Source organism: Homo sapiens, chromosome 4 (genome assembly GCF_000001405.40).
Source record: "Homo sapiens chromosome 4, GRCh38.p14 Primary Assembly".
NCBI classification, from domain to species: Eukaryota; Metazoa; Chordata; class Mammalia; order Primates; family Hominidae; genus Homo; species Homo sapiens.
Genome location: NC_000004.12, coordinates 177,263,963 through 177,281,937, shown reverse-complemented (window position 1 = coordinate 177,281,937; position 17,975 = coordinate 177,263,963). Strand labels below are relative to the sequence as shown.

General features: G+C 38.7%; 1 long non-coding RNA gene across 3 annotated transcripts in view; it reads left to right on the top strand.

The window, feature by feature from the left end:
* The window catches only part of LOC105377557 (uncharacterized), an 88,225-nt gene that overhangs the window by 19,343 nt on the left and 50,907 nt on the right, over positions 1 to 17,975 (top strand). The window contains exon 1 of one of the 3 annotated variants that reach the window (XR_007058381.1): positions 9,174 to 11,075. The exons of the other annotated variants lie outside the window; for them this stretch is intronic. This is a non-coding gene — a long non-coding RNA (uncharacterized LOC105377557). Of the gene's footprint in view, positions 1 to 9,173; positions 11,076 to 17,975 lie in introns of those variants that run through there. 3 annotated transcript variants of the gene reach the window in all.

The window sequence follows — 17,975 nt, the reverse complement described above, 5'->3', positions numbered from 1 at the left end:
TGCTTATAATTCCAGCACTTTGGGAGGCCCTAGGTGGGAGAATTGCTGGGCAACATAGCCAGACCCTGTCTCTACAAAAAAAAAAAAAAAAAAGGAAAAGGAAAGAAGCTGGGCACAGTCCCATGCGCTCTGTAGTTCTAGCTACTCAGCAGGCTGAGGTGGGAGAATAGCTTGAGCCCGGGAGTTTGACATTACAGTAAGCTATGATTGCAACACTGCACTCCAGCCTGGGTGACAGCATGAGGCCACTCTCAAAAAAAGAAAAAGAAAAAAAAAAGTGAGTTGTCCAAAGCCACACAGCTGATAAAACATTAAAACTGAACTTGAGCCTGGGTCCTAATCTAATTATCTTTCAACTACAGTATACTATCCTTTAATAAATGTTCTGGTATTTCACCAAAAGATCATAAAGCCCAACCCTCATGTGTGAACCTGGCTAAACGTAAAGTATTCTAAAGAACTCATACCTTTTATTGCCATCAGCTGTTACTGTGCATGAACAAGAATAGGTCCTTTCACAAGGTAAATGAAGGGACTTAAAAAGCCTAGCAGAATTCACGAAGAAGGTATTTTATTTTCTTCAAAGTATATTATGTACTTTTGAAGTATATTATGTACTTTAGTTCTTTTAATACAGCAGAACTAAAATTACGCTATATTCTTGTTCAACATGGTTTATTTGCCCTGAACATGTTTACAACTTTGTTGTGCTTACTCACTTTATAAGTTAGTTCTCCATCATAATGATAGTTTTTCTAATAGTTTATTCTTGCTCTTAGCTCTTTGTTTTAGTAGCAATTTCTGGTGTGGTGCTTTATTTGATACATGCTTTCTTACTTTTGTTCAAGCGCTTTCATAATTTTCATACTCATTCACATCAGCCTTATTCTCCTCTTGCATTATTTCTGAGTGCTACTAACTGCACATTTCCTGAGTTTGTTTTAGAATCTTCAATCTTCCTTCTGTATTTCACAATTGCAGATGGCTTTTTTTTTTGGTAACATGCTTATTTTCTCAGTCTCTACTTCTTAAAGCTTGATGTTCCCACTCACTTAAATAACAATTCACTAAGAACCTGAAAATTTTCAAATTGTGATTGCTGTTGAATATAATTGTGACTTCTATTTCATAGGTGCCACAGTTTTCCTTATTTCTAACAATTACATCCAAAATCATTTTCAACTTTATTAGAATTTTACAAGGGAATCTAGAATATCATTTGTGTATGTTCTTTTTCTTTATAGAATCTATTGTACAGAAGCTGATCTTTCTTTTAACTAGTCTCAGTCATTGGAAGTATTTATGTTTTATGTTAACAACTAAAGCCCAAATACATTGCATTAATCTATTCTCCTTCTTATCCCATACTCTCTGGCCTTTAATACACATTTCCTTCTGGGTAACATGAAATCCACCTCACATTTGTAGGTTTTCTAAGCTTTTCTCATTGGCCTCATACCATCTTGACATTCGGGCATTGACTTAGGTAATAACAAATATTTAGTAATGTAATATTTTGGCACATGTACTTCCCTACAATTATATGGCTAGTAGAAAAAAAATGGTCGGCTGTGTAATTTAATCTGATGGAGACTAAAATTAAGTAGAAAAACATCTAAAAGTGCTTTTGAAATAAATAGATCAAGTGAAGGAAAGCAGACTCACTTTAAAAGACAAGGAAAGAAAACACAGAATGAAATATGTAAAGAAATAGTAAAACAGCAATAACTGTCTATAAAATACATGGACAGTGAACATCAAGTTCTTTGTATATTTTTAAATCACAGAATCGTGATATGGTTTTTACCCATCTGAAAGAAAACCATCAAGCATTGGAATTATCATCAATAAAGAGTTGAGTAGATACTGAAGAAGGTAGCCTCACTCATTCAGCCTACCTATATCAGAATAATAGGTAGGACAAGGAGTCAGACATACAAGCCTAGTTTGGGCACAGAAAAAGGCAGTACTGTGGGCCGGCCTGGGTGAGGAAATCCGTGGAGTCAAAAAAGGACAAAGAAAAACGAGGGGCTTAGGTTGAATATAATTATATAAATATGAGCATGTACTGGGCATGGTGGCTCATGCCTGTAATCCCAGCACTTTGGGAGGCTGAGGCAGGTGGATCACGAAGTCAAGAGATCAAGACCATCCTGGCCAACATAGTGAAATCCCACCTCTACTAAAAATACAATAATTAGCTGGGCATGGTGGTGTGTGCCTGTAGTCCCAGCTGCTCAGGAGGCTGAGGCAGGAGAATCGTTTGAACCCGAGAGGCGGAGGTTGCAGTGAGCCCATATTGGCCATTGCACTCCAGCCTGGCGACAGAGCGAGACTCCATCTCAAAAAAAAAAAGAAAAGAAAAGAATATGAGCATGTGTGTTTAAAGTATTCTGGGGTAAAGCAATCTCATCCTTTTTGCCACTGATTCTGGTCATGAGACTGTAATTAATAAAGCATATAGTTGAAAACTACATTATATCACCAGCTCTTTTTATTAGTCAACATGTATGTAGCTCATACATAATGGGGGGCTTGCTGAGAAGATAGTTTATACATAGAAATAAGTAAACAAACACAATTGATCTATTTGGCCAAAACTTTGGAAATCCTTGCCCTCATGTTAGGAAGTGACTGGAAGGGAGAAAGATGCTCAGAAGCTAGCCTGAGTGGGACCACTTCAGAAGTCATTCTGAGAGAAGTCACCTCCGTACCCTGCGTGCTCCTAGGGACGCCATTACTGCCTTTGAATGGCTTGCCTTGGCAATAGATGTTGGAATGTGTGTTGTTGATCCTTTTCATAATCTTTGCCTTACACGTTGCCTCCATTCAAGGACTCCCCTCCTCAAACCTCAGGAGCCAGCAGCCCATGGTCCACTTGCTCACCAATAGTTGTTTCTTAAGTTGAAAAGAATATGGTCAACATCCATGGGTTCACTCTGCCATCTGGAAACTTCTTTCAATTAATAGATCTGTCAGGATCAGCCAGGACTCTCACTTTTGGGGATCCAAACCCCTGCCTACACTGAATGGTGTTAACTTGAGGACAGGTAAGTACTGAAATGATATTTGTGATAGAGTCAGGAAGAGGAGGGAAAATTTTGATTCCAATGAAAGGCTTAGGGAGAGAGGACAATTCACAATGAGTAGGTATCATGAAAACACTGGGGATCTGTAAAGGGGGCGTGGGGCACAGGATGGAAGGAAATGAGCCAGCAAGAGGTGAAGGGGTTCGTATTAGTCTGTTTTCATGCTGCTACGAAGGCATACCCAAGACTGGGTAATTTATAAAGAAAAGAGGTTTAACTGAGTCATTTCCACATGGCTATGGAGGCCTCAGGAAACTAATAATCACAGTGGAAGGTGACATAGGCACATCTTACATGGTGGCAAGTGAGAGAAATGAGGAGTGAAGTGGGGAAAAGCCCCTTAGAAAACTGTCTGATCTTGTGAGAACTCACACACTATCACAAGAACAGCACGGGGGAGACGTCCCCATAATCTAATCACCTCCCACAAGGTCCCTTCCCCAACATGTGGGGATTACAATTCAGATTACAAGTCAAGATGACATTTGGGGGAAACACAAAGCCAGACCATATTAGAGTTTTAGAGAATAATAGGAAGTTCAGAAAAACAATTTTTTCATACTCTTCAATTTTTACCAAAATATTTTGGAGACAAGTGGAGTGACATTGGAAATTACTGTGAAGGTACAAATATTTAGCAGATAACTTTGGAAGACAAATGACATTAAATGAACATTTGTTGGAATTAAAATAGAGGTTAGCAACCATTTTATTATAAAGGGTCAGACAGTAAACATTTAAAGTTTTGTAGGCCATGAGGCAAAATTGAGGATATTATGTAGCTATTTATATAAGAAGAGAGAAAACAAATGTCTACAAATTTTTTATTGTTGAAATTCAAAATATAATAATGACAAGTTCATTAAAAGAAAATACAGGCTGGTACAGCGGCTCACACCTGTAATCCCAGCACTTTGGGAGGCCAAGGCAGAAGTATCACTTAAGGCCAGGAGTTTAAGGTCGGCTGGACAAAATAGCAAGACCCTGACTTTACAAAAAGTAAAAAATAAAAAAAAAATTAGCCCAGCATGGTGGTGCATGCCTGTAGTCCTAGCTATTTGGAGGCTGAGGCAGGAGGACTGCTTAAGCCTGGGAGATCCAGGCTGCAATTAGCTATGATTGTGCAACTGCACTCCAGCCTGAGTGACAGGGTGAGACCCTGTGTCAGTAAAGAAATAAGTAAACAAACAAACAAACAAATGCTTAAAAAATTTAAACATACAAGTCTATGAATGATAAGAATGGGGGGATAATATTTTGCTTAACTGGCGTTCAAAATTAGTTCTTGCTATCATCAAAATCAATTGTAAACTCATCTGTTAATGTTGATCCATAATGAAATTTCATGTATTTTATCTGTGAAAATATCTTCTCACACAGATAGGTTTTGCCAAATACTGATATCAATATGTGAGCATATGATTTTAACTGAGCACATTCACTAGCTCAAAGGCAAACAGAATTCTATTAGATTTTCCTCTTGATATTTGATTTTGGTGTACCATTCTATTGCATACCAGCAACTCCCGCAGGAAAGCTAAGTGAAAGCTCCTCAATTGCACAGTTAAGTGAATTCTGAAATATGGAGGATTTTTGTTTTGTCTTGTTTTTCCTTTAATTAAGATCTGAAAAATGCAGCTGGAACTATAGTTTGAACTTGAAAAACATATTCATTGCAAATTTTTTGTGGGAATGGAGATCTTGTGTTTTGTTTTGTCTTTAACAGTATGTGACGTGTACAGCTTGGGCACAGTGGCTCACACCTGTAATTCCAGGACTTTGGGAAGCTGAAGTGTGCAGATCACTTGAGGTCAGGAGTTCAAGACCAGCCTGGTCAGCAGAGTGAAACCTTTTCTTTACTAAAAATACAAAAATTAGCTGGGCACAGCGGCGTGTGCCTGTAATCCCAGCTACTCAAGGGTCTGAGGCATGAGAATTGCTTGAACCTGGGAGATGGAGATTGCAGTGAGCCAAGATCGTACCACTGCACTCCAGCCTGGGCAACAGAGCAAGACTTGGTATCAAAAAACAAAAACAAAAACCAGAAAACAAAAAACAACAGTATGTAACGTGTATAAAGGAGCTTTACTTTACTGGGTTTGAAACAGTGTTAGTTGTCATAGAAATGATTTTGTTGCAATGTAAGTTTTGCATAGATGCAGTCTTTTGTTTTATTAAAAAACACTAATTTTAGTTATTCAGTGCTTAATAAGAGTGGCTGAGGCTGGGGGCCGTGGTTCACGCCTGTAATCTCAGCAGTTTGGGAGGCCAAGGCGGGCGGATCACCTGAGGTCAGGAATTTGAGACCAGCCTGACCAACGTGGAGAAACCCCGTCCTACTAAAAATACAAAATTAGCTGGGTGTGGTGGTGCATGCCTGTAATCCCCAGCTACTCAGGAGGCTGAGGCAGGAGAATCGCTTGAACCTGGGAGGCAGAGGTTGTGGTGAGCCAAGATCGCGCCATTGCACTTTAGCATGGGCAACAAGAGCAAAACTTCATCTAAAAAAAAAAATTAGAAAATTAGTGGCATGGAAATAAGTAGTGGGCAAGATTTGACTGTGGGCTTTTGTTTGTCAATCACTGAATTAGACTGATATGGCCTTTGGAGTCAGACTCCTTAGTTTGAATTCTGGCCACACTCACTCTTGAATTGTGTAATTTGGGGCGGATTACTCAACCTCTCTAAACCCTCTAAGACAGGACAAGAGTTCTCCCCTTATAGAATAAAGATTAAATAAGGAGTATGCATGAAATAATACAAACGATTAGTAAATAGTATTTTAAAATTCTACTATAATGCTCTAAATGGATCCAACAATTTAGCCATGTAAAAAGGGGTTGGTGTTTTTATTGTAAAACTGATGAGTTGAGCTTGGGTAAGCCTGCTGTGGAGGATGTGTGCCAGCCATTGATGCCATCTATCTGAATTCTTGTTTTTGGGAGTTCTCCATGTATTAGAATTACTGTAAGTATTTTATGAATGCTGCCATTGTTATGCTTCTGAGATGGGATAGTTCCTTTGACCCCTTCACAGGACTCATGAAGGGGTGGCTCATCTACTCAGCCCGCAGCTCTGAACCCCTTATAGGAGGGGGAGCATGGAGGTGAGCAGGTGCGGGAACCAGGGCAAATGAACGCTGGAACTGACTGGTCACTCCTGTCTGGCATTAGCAGGCTCTCTGCGGGCCCTGTGGCAGCGTCCATGTGTGTTACAATGGTCTTTTAGCTCTGCTGTCTGAGAGGGGGTGTCTGTGACTCCTGGAACCCCAGAGGGCATGTGTTACAATCAGTGCTGTTTTAGCATTTGCCAACCACAGACAGCTAAGTGTTAAGCAGCTCAGCGAAGGGTCGGAGTGACATCCTTTTATACCTTGCCCTCTTAGTACCCAATTTCTTGTTGCGTGTCAAGGAAGAATCAGGTCACGCGAACAAATTGAAGGGTGGTGTATACGGAGGATTTTAATTGAGCAGTGGAAGTGGCTCTCAGTGGGAAGGGGAGCTGGAAGGGGGATGGATTGGGAAGATAGTCTTCCCCTGGAGTTTGGCAGTCCCCAGTTGAACTCTTCTCCAAAGTCCTTCCATCAAGCTATTCCTCTGAAGTAAAGCTGCTTTTCTCCAACATCCAGTTGCTTCTTCTCTTCTCTCCTTCGTTGCCACTTTGCTCTGCTCCTCTGCCAGTGGAGCTTGGGGTTTTTATGGTACAGGATGGGGATCATGATGGGCCAGGGTGGTTTTGGAAAAGGCAATATTTGGGTGGGAAAATAGGAATGCATGTTCTCATTTAGGGCCATAGGTCCAGGTTTGAGAGTGGACCTTTTCTACCTAGTATTTCCCTGACTCCTGTCTGTATCACTTCCTTTTCAATTTTTATTTATTTATTTATTTATTTTGAGACAGAGCCTCACTCTGTTGCCTAGGTTGGAATGCAGTGGTGTGACCTCAGCTCACTGAAACCTCCACCTCCCGGGTTCAAGCGATTTTTGTGCCTCAGCCTCCTGAGTAGCTAGGACTACAGGCCTGTGCCACCACAACTGCTAATTTTTGTATTTTTAGTAGAGACAGGGTTTTACCATGCCATCCAGGCTGGTCTGAACTCCTGGCCTCAAGTGAGCTGCCTGCCTTGGCTTCCCAAAGTGCTGGGATTACAGGTGTGAGCCACTGCTCCTGGCCCCTTTTTTATTCTTTATAACCCCCTAATGAGATAGGCATTATTTCCATGTTATGACAAGGAAATTCGTATTATCATCCTTGAATCTACTCCATTCCTCTTCACCTACTGCCCATGCTAAACTAATCCAGTTTCACCAGCTCTATGCAGGGGCTGCCCAGCTAATCCCAGCTCTTCCTTTCTCCACAGTATACACTGGTAGCATACAGAGCATGATTCATGGGTTTTGCTATTCCTCTGACTTCGTAATGGTTTCTAAAGGCAATGAAGTCCTTATTATCCTTTTTTATACTGTCTGATTTTGTGCTTATCTCTTTCCACGTTGGGTGATCCTAAAAGATCAGTGATGTGCCTTATTTATTTTGGTATGTACAGAGATTAATACTAGTAGTTATTAAAAATAAAAGTATTGAATCAACTAACAAATGAAGTTGTTAACAAATGTTTTGTTTCTGTTATAACGGAAACAAAAAAGTATTTTTATTGGTATTCCTTACTAATTTCAAAGCTTTTCAGTAGGTTATTTCATTGCAGTCATGTTTTTCATATTCTTTTTTATGTTATTTATTTATAAACCAAAAGAAGCCATTTATAGAAGAAATGACTTGGATTAACGTGATCATGTTCAGAACCCTAGTTTGCCATTAAACAGCTACGTGTGGCCAGGCACAGTGGCTCATGCCTGTAATCTCAGCACTTTGGGAAGCTGAGGCAGGAGGATCACTTGAGGCCAGGAGTTCAAAATCTGCCTTGACAGCACAGTGGGACCCTGTCTCTACAAAATATTTTAAAATTATTCAGGCATAGTGGTGTGCACCTGTAGTCCCAGCTTTTCAGGAGTCTGAGGTGGGAGAATCTATTGAGCCCAGGAGGTTGAGGCTGCAGTGAGCCATGATCATACCACTGTACTCTAGCCTGGATGACAGAAAGAGGCCCTGTCTCAAAAAGAAAAAAAAAAAAAGAAAGAAAGCTAAAAAGCTAGGAGTATTTATGCAAAAATTTTACTTTTTTCTTCTTTTATTTCCCTTTCTTTTTTTCTTTTCTAAATTCAATTCTATTATGCTTTCTAAAAAGTGACCTTTAAGGTCAAATTCAATTCTGAAATTCTATGGTAGTTTTTAAAGTATGAAGTTTAGTTTTGATAATGGATTCTGTAGTATTTACCTATGTTTTTTGAAAAATAATCTATGCATTAAAATTAGTTTAAAAATATCTTCACTCTTTCTTTAGTAGATGAAAGATGTCCTTAAATTTTTTGGTAGAAACATATTTTTTAATTTGACATATGATTAATAAATATTGGTAAATTGTTTCCTTGAATATACTTCATCAGCAATCTAATTTAATGCTTTATTGAATTGCAGCTTTTTAAGCCATATCCAAATTTCACCGCTAGTAAGAGCAGTGTCTTAACTGACTTTTCAGTGATATAGTCAGTAACCAAAACTGGGAAGGAATGATCAGTCTGGCAGGAGAAGCCACGTTGATTTCTCTATTACCTCTTGGAATTTTACTTTATATGAGAGACCTCATATATTAAAGAAAAACTCTAAACTGGTGTGGATATGCACTTTTCTTTTAATCGCTTCAATGTCAAGTTGTGATTTTTATTTGTATTTATTACTAGAAATGGAATTGGTTATTGCTATGCACCTCAAATACATTACATCATTACATCAGGCTTCTCTTTTTTTTTTTTTTTTTTTTTTGAGATGGAGTCTCGCTCTGTCTCCAGGCTGGAGTGCAGTGGCGTGATCTGGCTCACTGCAATCTCCTCCCAGGTTCAAGCAATTCTCCTGCCTCAGCCTCCCAAGAAGTTGGGACTACAGGCATGTGCCACCACACCTGGCTAATTTTTGTATTTTTAGTAGAGACAGGGTTTCACCATCTTAGCCAGGCTGGTCTTGAACTCCTGACCTCGTGATTCACCCGCCTCGGTCTCCCAAAGTGCTGGGGTTATAGGTGTGAGCACTGTGCCCAGCCCATTACATCATTTTTCTTATCACGGTAACAAGCATGTATAGATTACAGTTTCCAGGCACTTCTATTTTCATAAGACTGGACTATGGCTGTCTTCCTATTGTGTATCCCAGCAGCTAGTCCTGTTACAGAACCAAACTGGGGTCCTCTTGTCCAGCACAGTAAGACCAGATATCCACACCACAGTTTGCATCAGTAGAAAGGAAGGTGTTTATCTGTAGGGCAGCAAGCAATGAGGACCAGACAGTTCACGCTTAAGTCACAGCCTTGTTGATGGATTGCAGGTGAGAGTTTTTAAAGGCAGGGGTAAATTTCAGGAAAGCAGAAGTTATAGGCAACATGGTATGTCGATACATTTGCATTGGTTTTGGCCTTAAGAAGACAGATAACTTTAAGGGAGAGAGGGCTTACGTGTCATAAATAGATTCAAAGATTTTCTAATTTGCAATTAGATAAGTAAGATAAACCTTGTGTAAAAATTTGGGGTCAGCAGATTTGAATGTTAGCTTGGCTCCTGGATGTGACTCCCTCCTGGCGCCTCAGAATGAAATGTAAAACAAAGAACAGTGGTCAGAGTTCAGACTTCAGTTCCTCGTTATCTGAGGTCTACATGCCAGCAAGTTCGTTTGGTGGGGGTCTGGGTTTCTGAAAAACAACTCAGAGACCTATGTTGTTATCTTTAGTTTCTGCAGGAGAATCAAACATCCCATGATTGAAGCTTTCTTGGCTGTTGTTTTGGGCTACTATTACTTTCTTGCTTTTCAAGTTACTTATTTATTTCTCAGGGCTGGCTAGGCACCTGGAATTTCCCTTGAAAGAACTCAAGATTTCCCTTTAGTTCCATGCTTGGGTGTGGAGAGGTGCAGGCCCCTAAGAGGGGGTCTCTGCTCCTTTTCAGTTTAGAGCCTGACACATAATGCCTGATTCAACAAATATTCACTTAATCACAGAATGAATGAAAGTACTATCATATTTGATGCTCACATTATTTCTATTAGACAGATGAGGAAAGAAAGATGAATTAAGGATTATTGTACAAGGTCACAGAGATGATAAGCAACAGCAGTTAGATTTAAACCAGATCTTTTGACTGGAGAGCCCTAATCTTTTCAATGACTCCGGCCTGCTGCTTCTATTAAAGTTGTACATGTTTTTAGAGCCGATCTATCAAATCATGTTTGTTCAGAAGATTTTATGATAAATACTTCATACTTTAGCACTTTTTTGATATTTAGAACCAAAGACAGACTTAAACTTCCTCAGCACAAAAACACCAGAAAGGCCCGTTGAGAAACCTGCTGCAAATTTTAATGTGCATCTGCAGAGGATTAGGGTCCCCATAGACATTCTGGGGCATTCCCCAGGGAGTTTCATGGAATACTATTTCCCAAAGCTGTTCAGAAGTTCCATGAAGTCAGGAACATTTTTCTGCTGCTTAGGCAAGTATGTTATCTGCAGACTGTAATTTCTCAAGTCCAAGAAAGGGAAATGTTGGTGACAGAAACTTACTCTGGGGACTTCATCTACAGAAAGAAAGCTCACTTATCACAAACAAACCATTTCTAAGAGAGCAACAATTTTGTTGACTACATTTAAAGACAGAAACACGCAGTTCCCAAGTGCAATTTCAGTTTTCCAAAGGACAGTTTGATTCTTTTTCAGAAATGCGTTGGTGATTATTTTTTGTTGTTTTGTTTTGTTTTGCTTAGAAGGACTGCTTAGTGTGCCTCTTTAGTCAACATGAAAAAGAAGAAAAGAACAAGCAACTGAATGATCCTCTGATGGCCTCAAGGCAGTGGATTGAGAATATCTCTTAAGTACAAGGAGGTATTCTAGGTAAGACTGGTAAAGACTTTTTAAATCAGGCTCAAATACTCCTCAAACACTGACACAGTCAGATTGATTCTGATTAAATGCTTTTTTTTTTCCTAAAGAATGTCTATTTTCCATACTGATTTTACAAAATCCCTCTAAAATTGCTGAAATTCCTATAATAAAATGTTAATCTCTTACATTAAGAATTGGATGAAATTTACTTACAGCAGACAATCTTGGGTTCTATTATGTTTAGTATACAAATTTTTTTCTTTTGACAACTACTGTTTTAAAACTCATGATATTAGGTTTCAGGATACGTATTTTATAAGATATAATACATATATTATGTATTATATATACATATATGTATAAATAGCATATTTATACATATAATATATTATATTTATACATAATACATATAATATAATATATATATACACATATATATATTTGTTGTGTGTTTTTTTGACAGAGGAAATAGTACCAGGGCTAGAAATTACATCAATATCGTAGGGTATTTTTATACTGTTTTGGCTACTTTGTATCCTTCATATATATTCCTTGTAGGTAGGACATACATGCCTCAAATATGTGTAATTTTTTAGAAACTTGTGATTTTCTCAGCTTAATAACTTTGTAAATAACTTTGTACTATTTAAAAATCTATATCTGTAAAATTATATACCACACTTGCAGAAAAACTGTTTAGGATATTTACTGCATAAAAATGAAAGGTAGGCTTACATTTTGGCTTTTCTTGGGTGGGGAGGCAGGAGATACCACTACATTATGAGCTTTCTCAGGGAATACACTCTACGTTGGTCAGGTCTGCATCCCCAACACTTAGTTTGGTGACTGACCATATTAGACACTCCATATATTTTTGTTAACTAACTGCATGAAAGGCAATGATTATATCATGTGTCTGTCTAGGTGCTGGCACAGTAGGGTCAAATCTGGTCCATGACCAGTTTTTATATGCCAGGAAAGCTAAGAGTGTTTTGCGCATTTTTTTTAACATGCCGTAAAAATAACAAAGAAGAATATGTAACAGAGATTACATAGCCTGAAAAGCCTAAAATATTTGCTATCTGGCCCTTTACAGAAAAATGTTTGCTGACCCATCTTTATTCTTAAATATACTCTTGTTTTTACATACACTTCAGTCAGAGCTCAGACCAGTCTTGGAGTGAGGCTATCCCTGGAGGTAGACTCTGCTAATTGCCTGTTCAAAGTCATTCCCTTTCTCTCTTGTTAACAGAATCCCCATTATGTTTGGTTGACAATAGAACTTCTATGGATGAAACATGGCAGGTCAAAGCCAGTTTTGGCAATCTCATTTGTCTTTCCTAGTGATTTGTCTAGAGTAGGCATGTCACTCAGTTCTGGAAGATGAAACCTAAGGGGAAATGACCAGGTAGATTTCTGAGAAGGATTTTACTCCTCTTTTAAAGGCAAACATATATAAAGGAATATATGTGTTTGCTTCCACTCCATTCTGTTAAGTGAAGTTTAGCCTAAAGTTGCCTCTTTACATATTTTAAATTGAGCCTAAAGCTTTCTATGTACATAGTGAACTATAACCTAAATAGAAGTGTAAATGGTCTCAAATCTACTCTTGTGCCAATCACTGAGTTTTGGCCAATCATAGGGGGCCAACTGTTTAAACCATTTTTAAATAAGGCAAATGCTGAGCTATAACCCACCTGGCTGTTTCTGTACCTCACTTCCATTTTCTGTAGGTCACTTTCATTCTGTCCATAAGTCTTATGTCACCACATGCTTGTGCTGGACTCTCTGAGTCTACTCTGGCTCAGGAGGATGCCCAATTCATGACTTGTTCTTTGCTCAGTTAAACTCTGTTAAATTATATTTGTCTAAGGATTTTCTTTCAACAGTTCTTTCTTGCTTGGGATTTAGTTATGTGAAGTTGTGTTTTGCCTCTTTGGCAGTCCTCTTTTGACCAAGAAAGAAAGCCAAAATGATTCAAAGTGATGTTGGGCTAACATTCTGCCACTGTTGTGCTGTTGAATTGACTCTACAACTGAGATGAGATTGTTTCCTTGACCTTGATCCCCTTCATGGGTGGGAACTGGATGGCTCATTTCACTCAGTCTGCTGCTGGCCACTCCTTGCAAGAGGGAGCATGCAAGCAAGTGAGTGTGGGACCAAAGCAAATGAATACTGGAACCGGCTGGTTGCTCCTCTCTGGCAGGAGAAGGCTCTGTGCAGACCCCACAGCAGTGTCCCAGCCCCTGCCCTCTCAGCACCCAGGTTCTCATCCAGTGTCCAGGAAGAATCAGGTCACATGAATGGGTTGAAGGGTAGTGTATGCAGAGGATTTTATTGGGTGATGGAAGTGGCTCTCAGCAGAATAGAGAGTTGGAAAGGGGATGGTGTGGGAAGAAGGTGATCTTTCCCTGAAGCTGCACCATCTGAAGTTAGTTGCATCTATCTGCAGTCTCTGAAGCTCAGTTGCTTCTCTGCTTGTTTCTCAGCTACTTCCATGCTCGTTGCTCAGCCACTTGTATCCCTGATGCTCAGCTGCTTGTGTTGCTCTGCCAGCTGAAGACTTTTTATGGGCACAGGATAGGGGTAAGGCAGACCAAAAAAAAAAAAAACAAACAAAAAAACATTTTTGCGGAAAAATGGATTCAGCTATTTTCACTTAGGGCTGCGGTTCCAGGCTTAAGGTTGGGGTTTAGCTGGGAGCCCAGCCCTTCTATATCATAACCACCTATCTCTAGCCTGCTTGTCAAACCACCATTGCGAAATTGTAACTAAGACAGTGAAAGAGATTTGACCTAACCAACTGCATCTTGCTTCTAATCTCCAAGCTATCCTTATTCTTTCCTGGGCATAGGCTGAACTAACTTCTGGAAGAACTTAGTTTATAGTTTAAAACAAAGATGATAACAGGCCTTTACCAAGGCAAATCCCCTTCTTGCCTGGGGACTAGACTGCCATTGTAGGTTGAACATATTAGCCACAAGATTAGAAATTATGGTTTAAGAGTCATGCAGCTGGAGGCTACAAGATTCTGACCCTCCTTAACCTGCTTGTAAGATCAATGCTTGAGATATTTTGCAGACCTTGCAACTGATGGATCAGCTGGCACCACCAAAATTGATAAACTGGCTCATCTGATCTTGTGGCCCCCACCTAGGAACTGACTAAGCACAAGAAGCATCTCTGACTTGACCAATCAGCACACCTGTCTCATTGGCTTCCCCCCGCCCACTAAGTTGTCCTTAAAAACCCTGATCCCCCGAACCCTCGGGGAGACTGATTTGAGTAATAATAAGACTCCAGTTTCCTGCACAGCTGGCTCTGCATGAATTACTCTTTCTTTATTGCAATTCCCCTGTCTTGATAAATTGGCTCTGTCTAGGCAGTGGGCAAGGTGAACCCATTGGGTCATTACATTTGTAATATGATAAAAAAAATCATGTCTTTATGCTTCAGGCTATTGTTAATTCTGTACGCTGATGCTTTCTGCTAAAATATACTGATTCATTCAGTTTTTAGATCTATTATAATGAGCTCAATGAAATTATTGAAGTTTTTTTTAATGAGAAACTCTCAAATTACTTGGAGTCCTAATTGGTTATAGTATTATCCAGACAGGGATTAATGTAACCTGGTACTACACTATCTTGGACATAGCCATTTTGGTTCAAATTTATATGAGAAAGGCAACCACTTGGAGAGCAGAGTGAATTCAACCGTGAAAAATCAAATTAATTCTCTTATCTGATTAAGAAGTGTGTGTGGATGTGCTTATGCATTTGTGTGTTCAGTATTGACAACCATAAATAATGAGATTCAGAAAACTTTATTAATTGTAGAGTTTATTCAAGCACTAAGCTTGAGGATGGCCATCTGGGAAGCAAGGATTCCAAAAAACGGAAATCAGCTTTCCAAAATGTGGAATTTTGGAGGTCATCTATATAGATAACATTTAGGGAAGCTTAACAGAATTTCAGCATCTTTGTATATATGGCTTAATGCATGGTTACAAAGATCTGATTGGTTGAGCTGGTCTTTTTCTTTCAGGAAAGGTATATTTAATTTCCACATTGAACATGTGACAGTCATGAGGTCTTTTGCATGATCTGGTCTGAATGAGGTACAGGACAGTAAAGGAGGCAGTTAATCTATAACAAAAGTCAGTGATTAGAAGGGGAAGAGATGTGGTCTCTGGTTTCTCCTAGTCATTTACAACGCAAGAGCAATGAGAGAGTTATTCTACAATCTAAGAAGCAGAAGTTGTAACTACATTCTATGTGATTCACATCACAGTCACATTTCTCTCAAGGCCTAAAGAGTTTTGAGGGTTCCAACAGCTTTTAAATTGTATGTGTTTTCACAGTATAAACATAGAATGTATGTGCTTCACTTAAGTAGACATTGGTTAGAATATACTAGACTAGGAATTAAGGAAAACAATGCTTGTGATCTGTCAATAGTGATGTTACAAATCCATGCTGTAAAGTTCATACTCTTAAACCCTCACATTCCTCCCTCAATGCTTATTTCAGAATGGATAGATACACAATGCTAGTGTAATATTATTTTACCTTATTTCTGCATTTTGACATCCCAGAATGGTATATTGCGTTTTCACTGCCATATAGGAAACTTCCCAGGGCACTTAAATGCAGAATTAATATTCTTTAGACTTCTATTTACTCTAGGTTAGCTATGTTAACTATTAAAACTCTGCTGCAAACTAATATTCATTTAATTTGATTAAATATTTTCTGAAATCTTTCAAATAACTATGATTGAGATTATATTTTTTCAGTTGTGCCCATGTCTTACCTATCTATATATGGCACAAATAGCACTTTCTATGGACATTTCATACACTCATCCATCTCTGACTTACGTAACTTTCTACTTTAGGTTAGTTTGTCTATGAAATCTCACGTGTTATTCTGTCTGTTCATTATTGTGAACTTTGAACTGTCTGGCAGAGGGCTATAACTTCCGGCATTTGTAAAGAGACAACTCCTTGCCTCCAACAAAGCTGCTTCCATATAACAAATTAATAGAAAACTTACTTATTTTTAAAAAAAGGGAATATGTTTTCTTTAATAAATTTCTAACATGTACATAGTGCTTTACAGTAGAAAATGCATTTGTATTTCTTATTTTATCCTCATAAAAACTTCACGAAGTCAACAAGCTACTGCTTTTTGTATCTATTTCATATTTTAAAAACGGGCTCAGAAAGTTTAGGAGACTTGCTCAGTTCACTCTCCTTTGAAGAGGCAGATTCTGGCTCTAAACCCAAGTCTCCTGATTCTTGTTCCTTCCCAGAGATAGGATGTTTGCACTGTTTTGGGGGTAGCACTACCATCTTTTTGAATGATTTTTGGAAATAAGCCATTTATGAAATATAATTTTCGTTAGAGGTGGCCAACTAAATTAGCTGACCTTTGACATCTTTAATGAAATCAATGAGCCTGTGCAAAAAGTTTTACATCTATCTCTCTTTTAAAAAAATAGAGAAAAATATTCACCATATATTAGGAATCCATAGAAATATTTTGGAAATGTCTATATACTGTGAATAAAATCACTGTAGTGTACAACTATATGCCATCGACATGTGTCTGATGTCAAGGTTGATTGAAGATTATTATAAAAAGTCTAAACATATTCCCAGTTAATTTACGATGCTGGCTTTCTTTGTCTGTATTCTCAGCAGATGACAGAATTCTACATACCTGACTGTCAAGCTTTACTGGTGGTTCTTATATATGCAGCATTCATTTTACTTTAATTAACCTCAAGACTCCTAGTTTACAAGGCAGAGCTGGGCTTCCTAATTATTTCCATAAAACTAGCAATCTTGCAAGCCATCAGAGGCTGTGGCTAAATCCCACACAAAGAAGCTTCAGTACTAGAAAATTTAACAAACTACTGTTTCTTTTTTTTAAGGAAAGGACTCTTTCATATTCTTTAATTTTTGTTGAATGGTGTTACAGTGAACTCTAGAAATGGCTCAGAGGCTAATTTTTTTTTCTTTTATACATCTGTCTATCATGCTACCTCTCTATATTTTTAGAGTACATTAAAGAAAATACGCCCTACGGTACTATTTTTCATCTTTATAATGCATGTGAAAAATTATTCTTGTTTTATCGTCTAAGGATAGTGAAGAGTGGGAATTGAATTCACTGTTACCCACATGCTGGCCTTGACAGGGAAAGACCCTGGATTATCTTCAGAATCAAGCCTTCATTACTGAGATAAAGTGAAAGAGACTGTACCACTCTTTATGTAATTAAATGCAAGCATTATGAAAATTTTTCTGCACAGCTGTTAGGTTGAAAAAAATTTAGGCCTTATCAGTAATCCCTTTATATCTTTAACATGATTCATAGCTCCTCACGTATTCCCTGGCCCAAAAATGAAACAGAATTTGCAGCCTTCCACAGGTAAATATTGCCCATTTGTTGCTTTAATATCAATTCTGTAGCTTTTTAAAAAAAAATTCAGTGAGCCATTCGAATGGCTATCATGCCATGTCTGGACAATTTATTTACTCAGCAATTCATAGTTAAAAGGCCAAGTGGCCAAGCAGGTCATAAAATAGTCACTTGAATTTAGTCTCAAAATGTTGCAGGACTTTTCCTTAGTTCAGCTAAAGACAGGGTCCTTGCCACATGGTCATGGAAATTTAGGTCTGCAGAAAATTGAAGGGTGAGTAAGGCAGGGTTTTATTGGATGAAAAGGGATAAAAGGGAAAACAGGGACCCTCTGCAAAGCCAGAGTCCCTGCTGGTGAGCTTCCTACCTCGCAGTTTGAATCCCAGGTTCCAAAGAGAAAGGGCCAGGCTCCGTTCCACTGCAAATGGCGTGAACTTCTGTGGCTTCACCCGTGCTCAGGCCAGATGGAGTTTTGCCA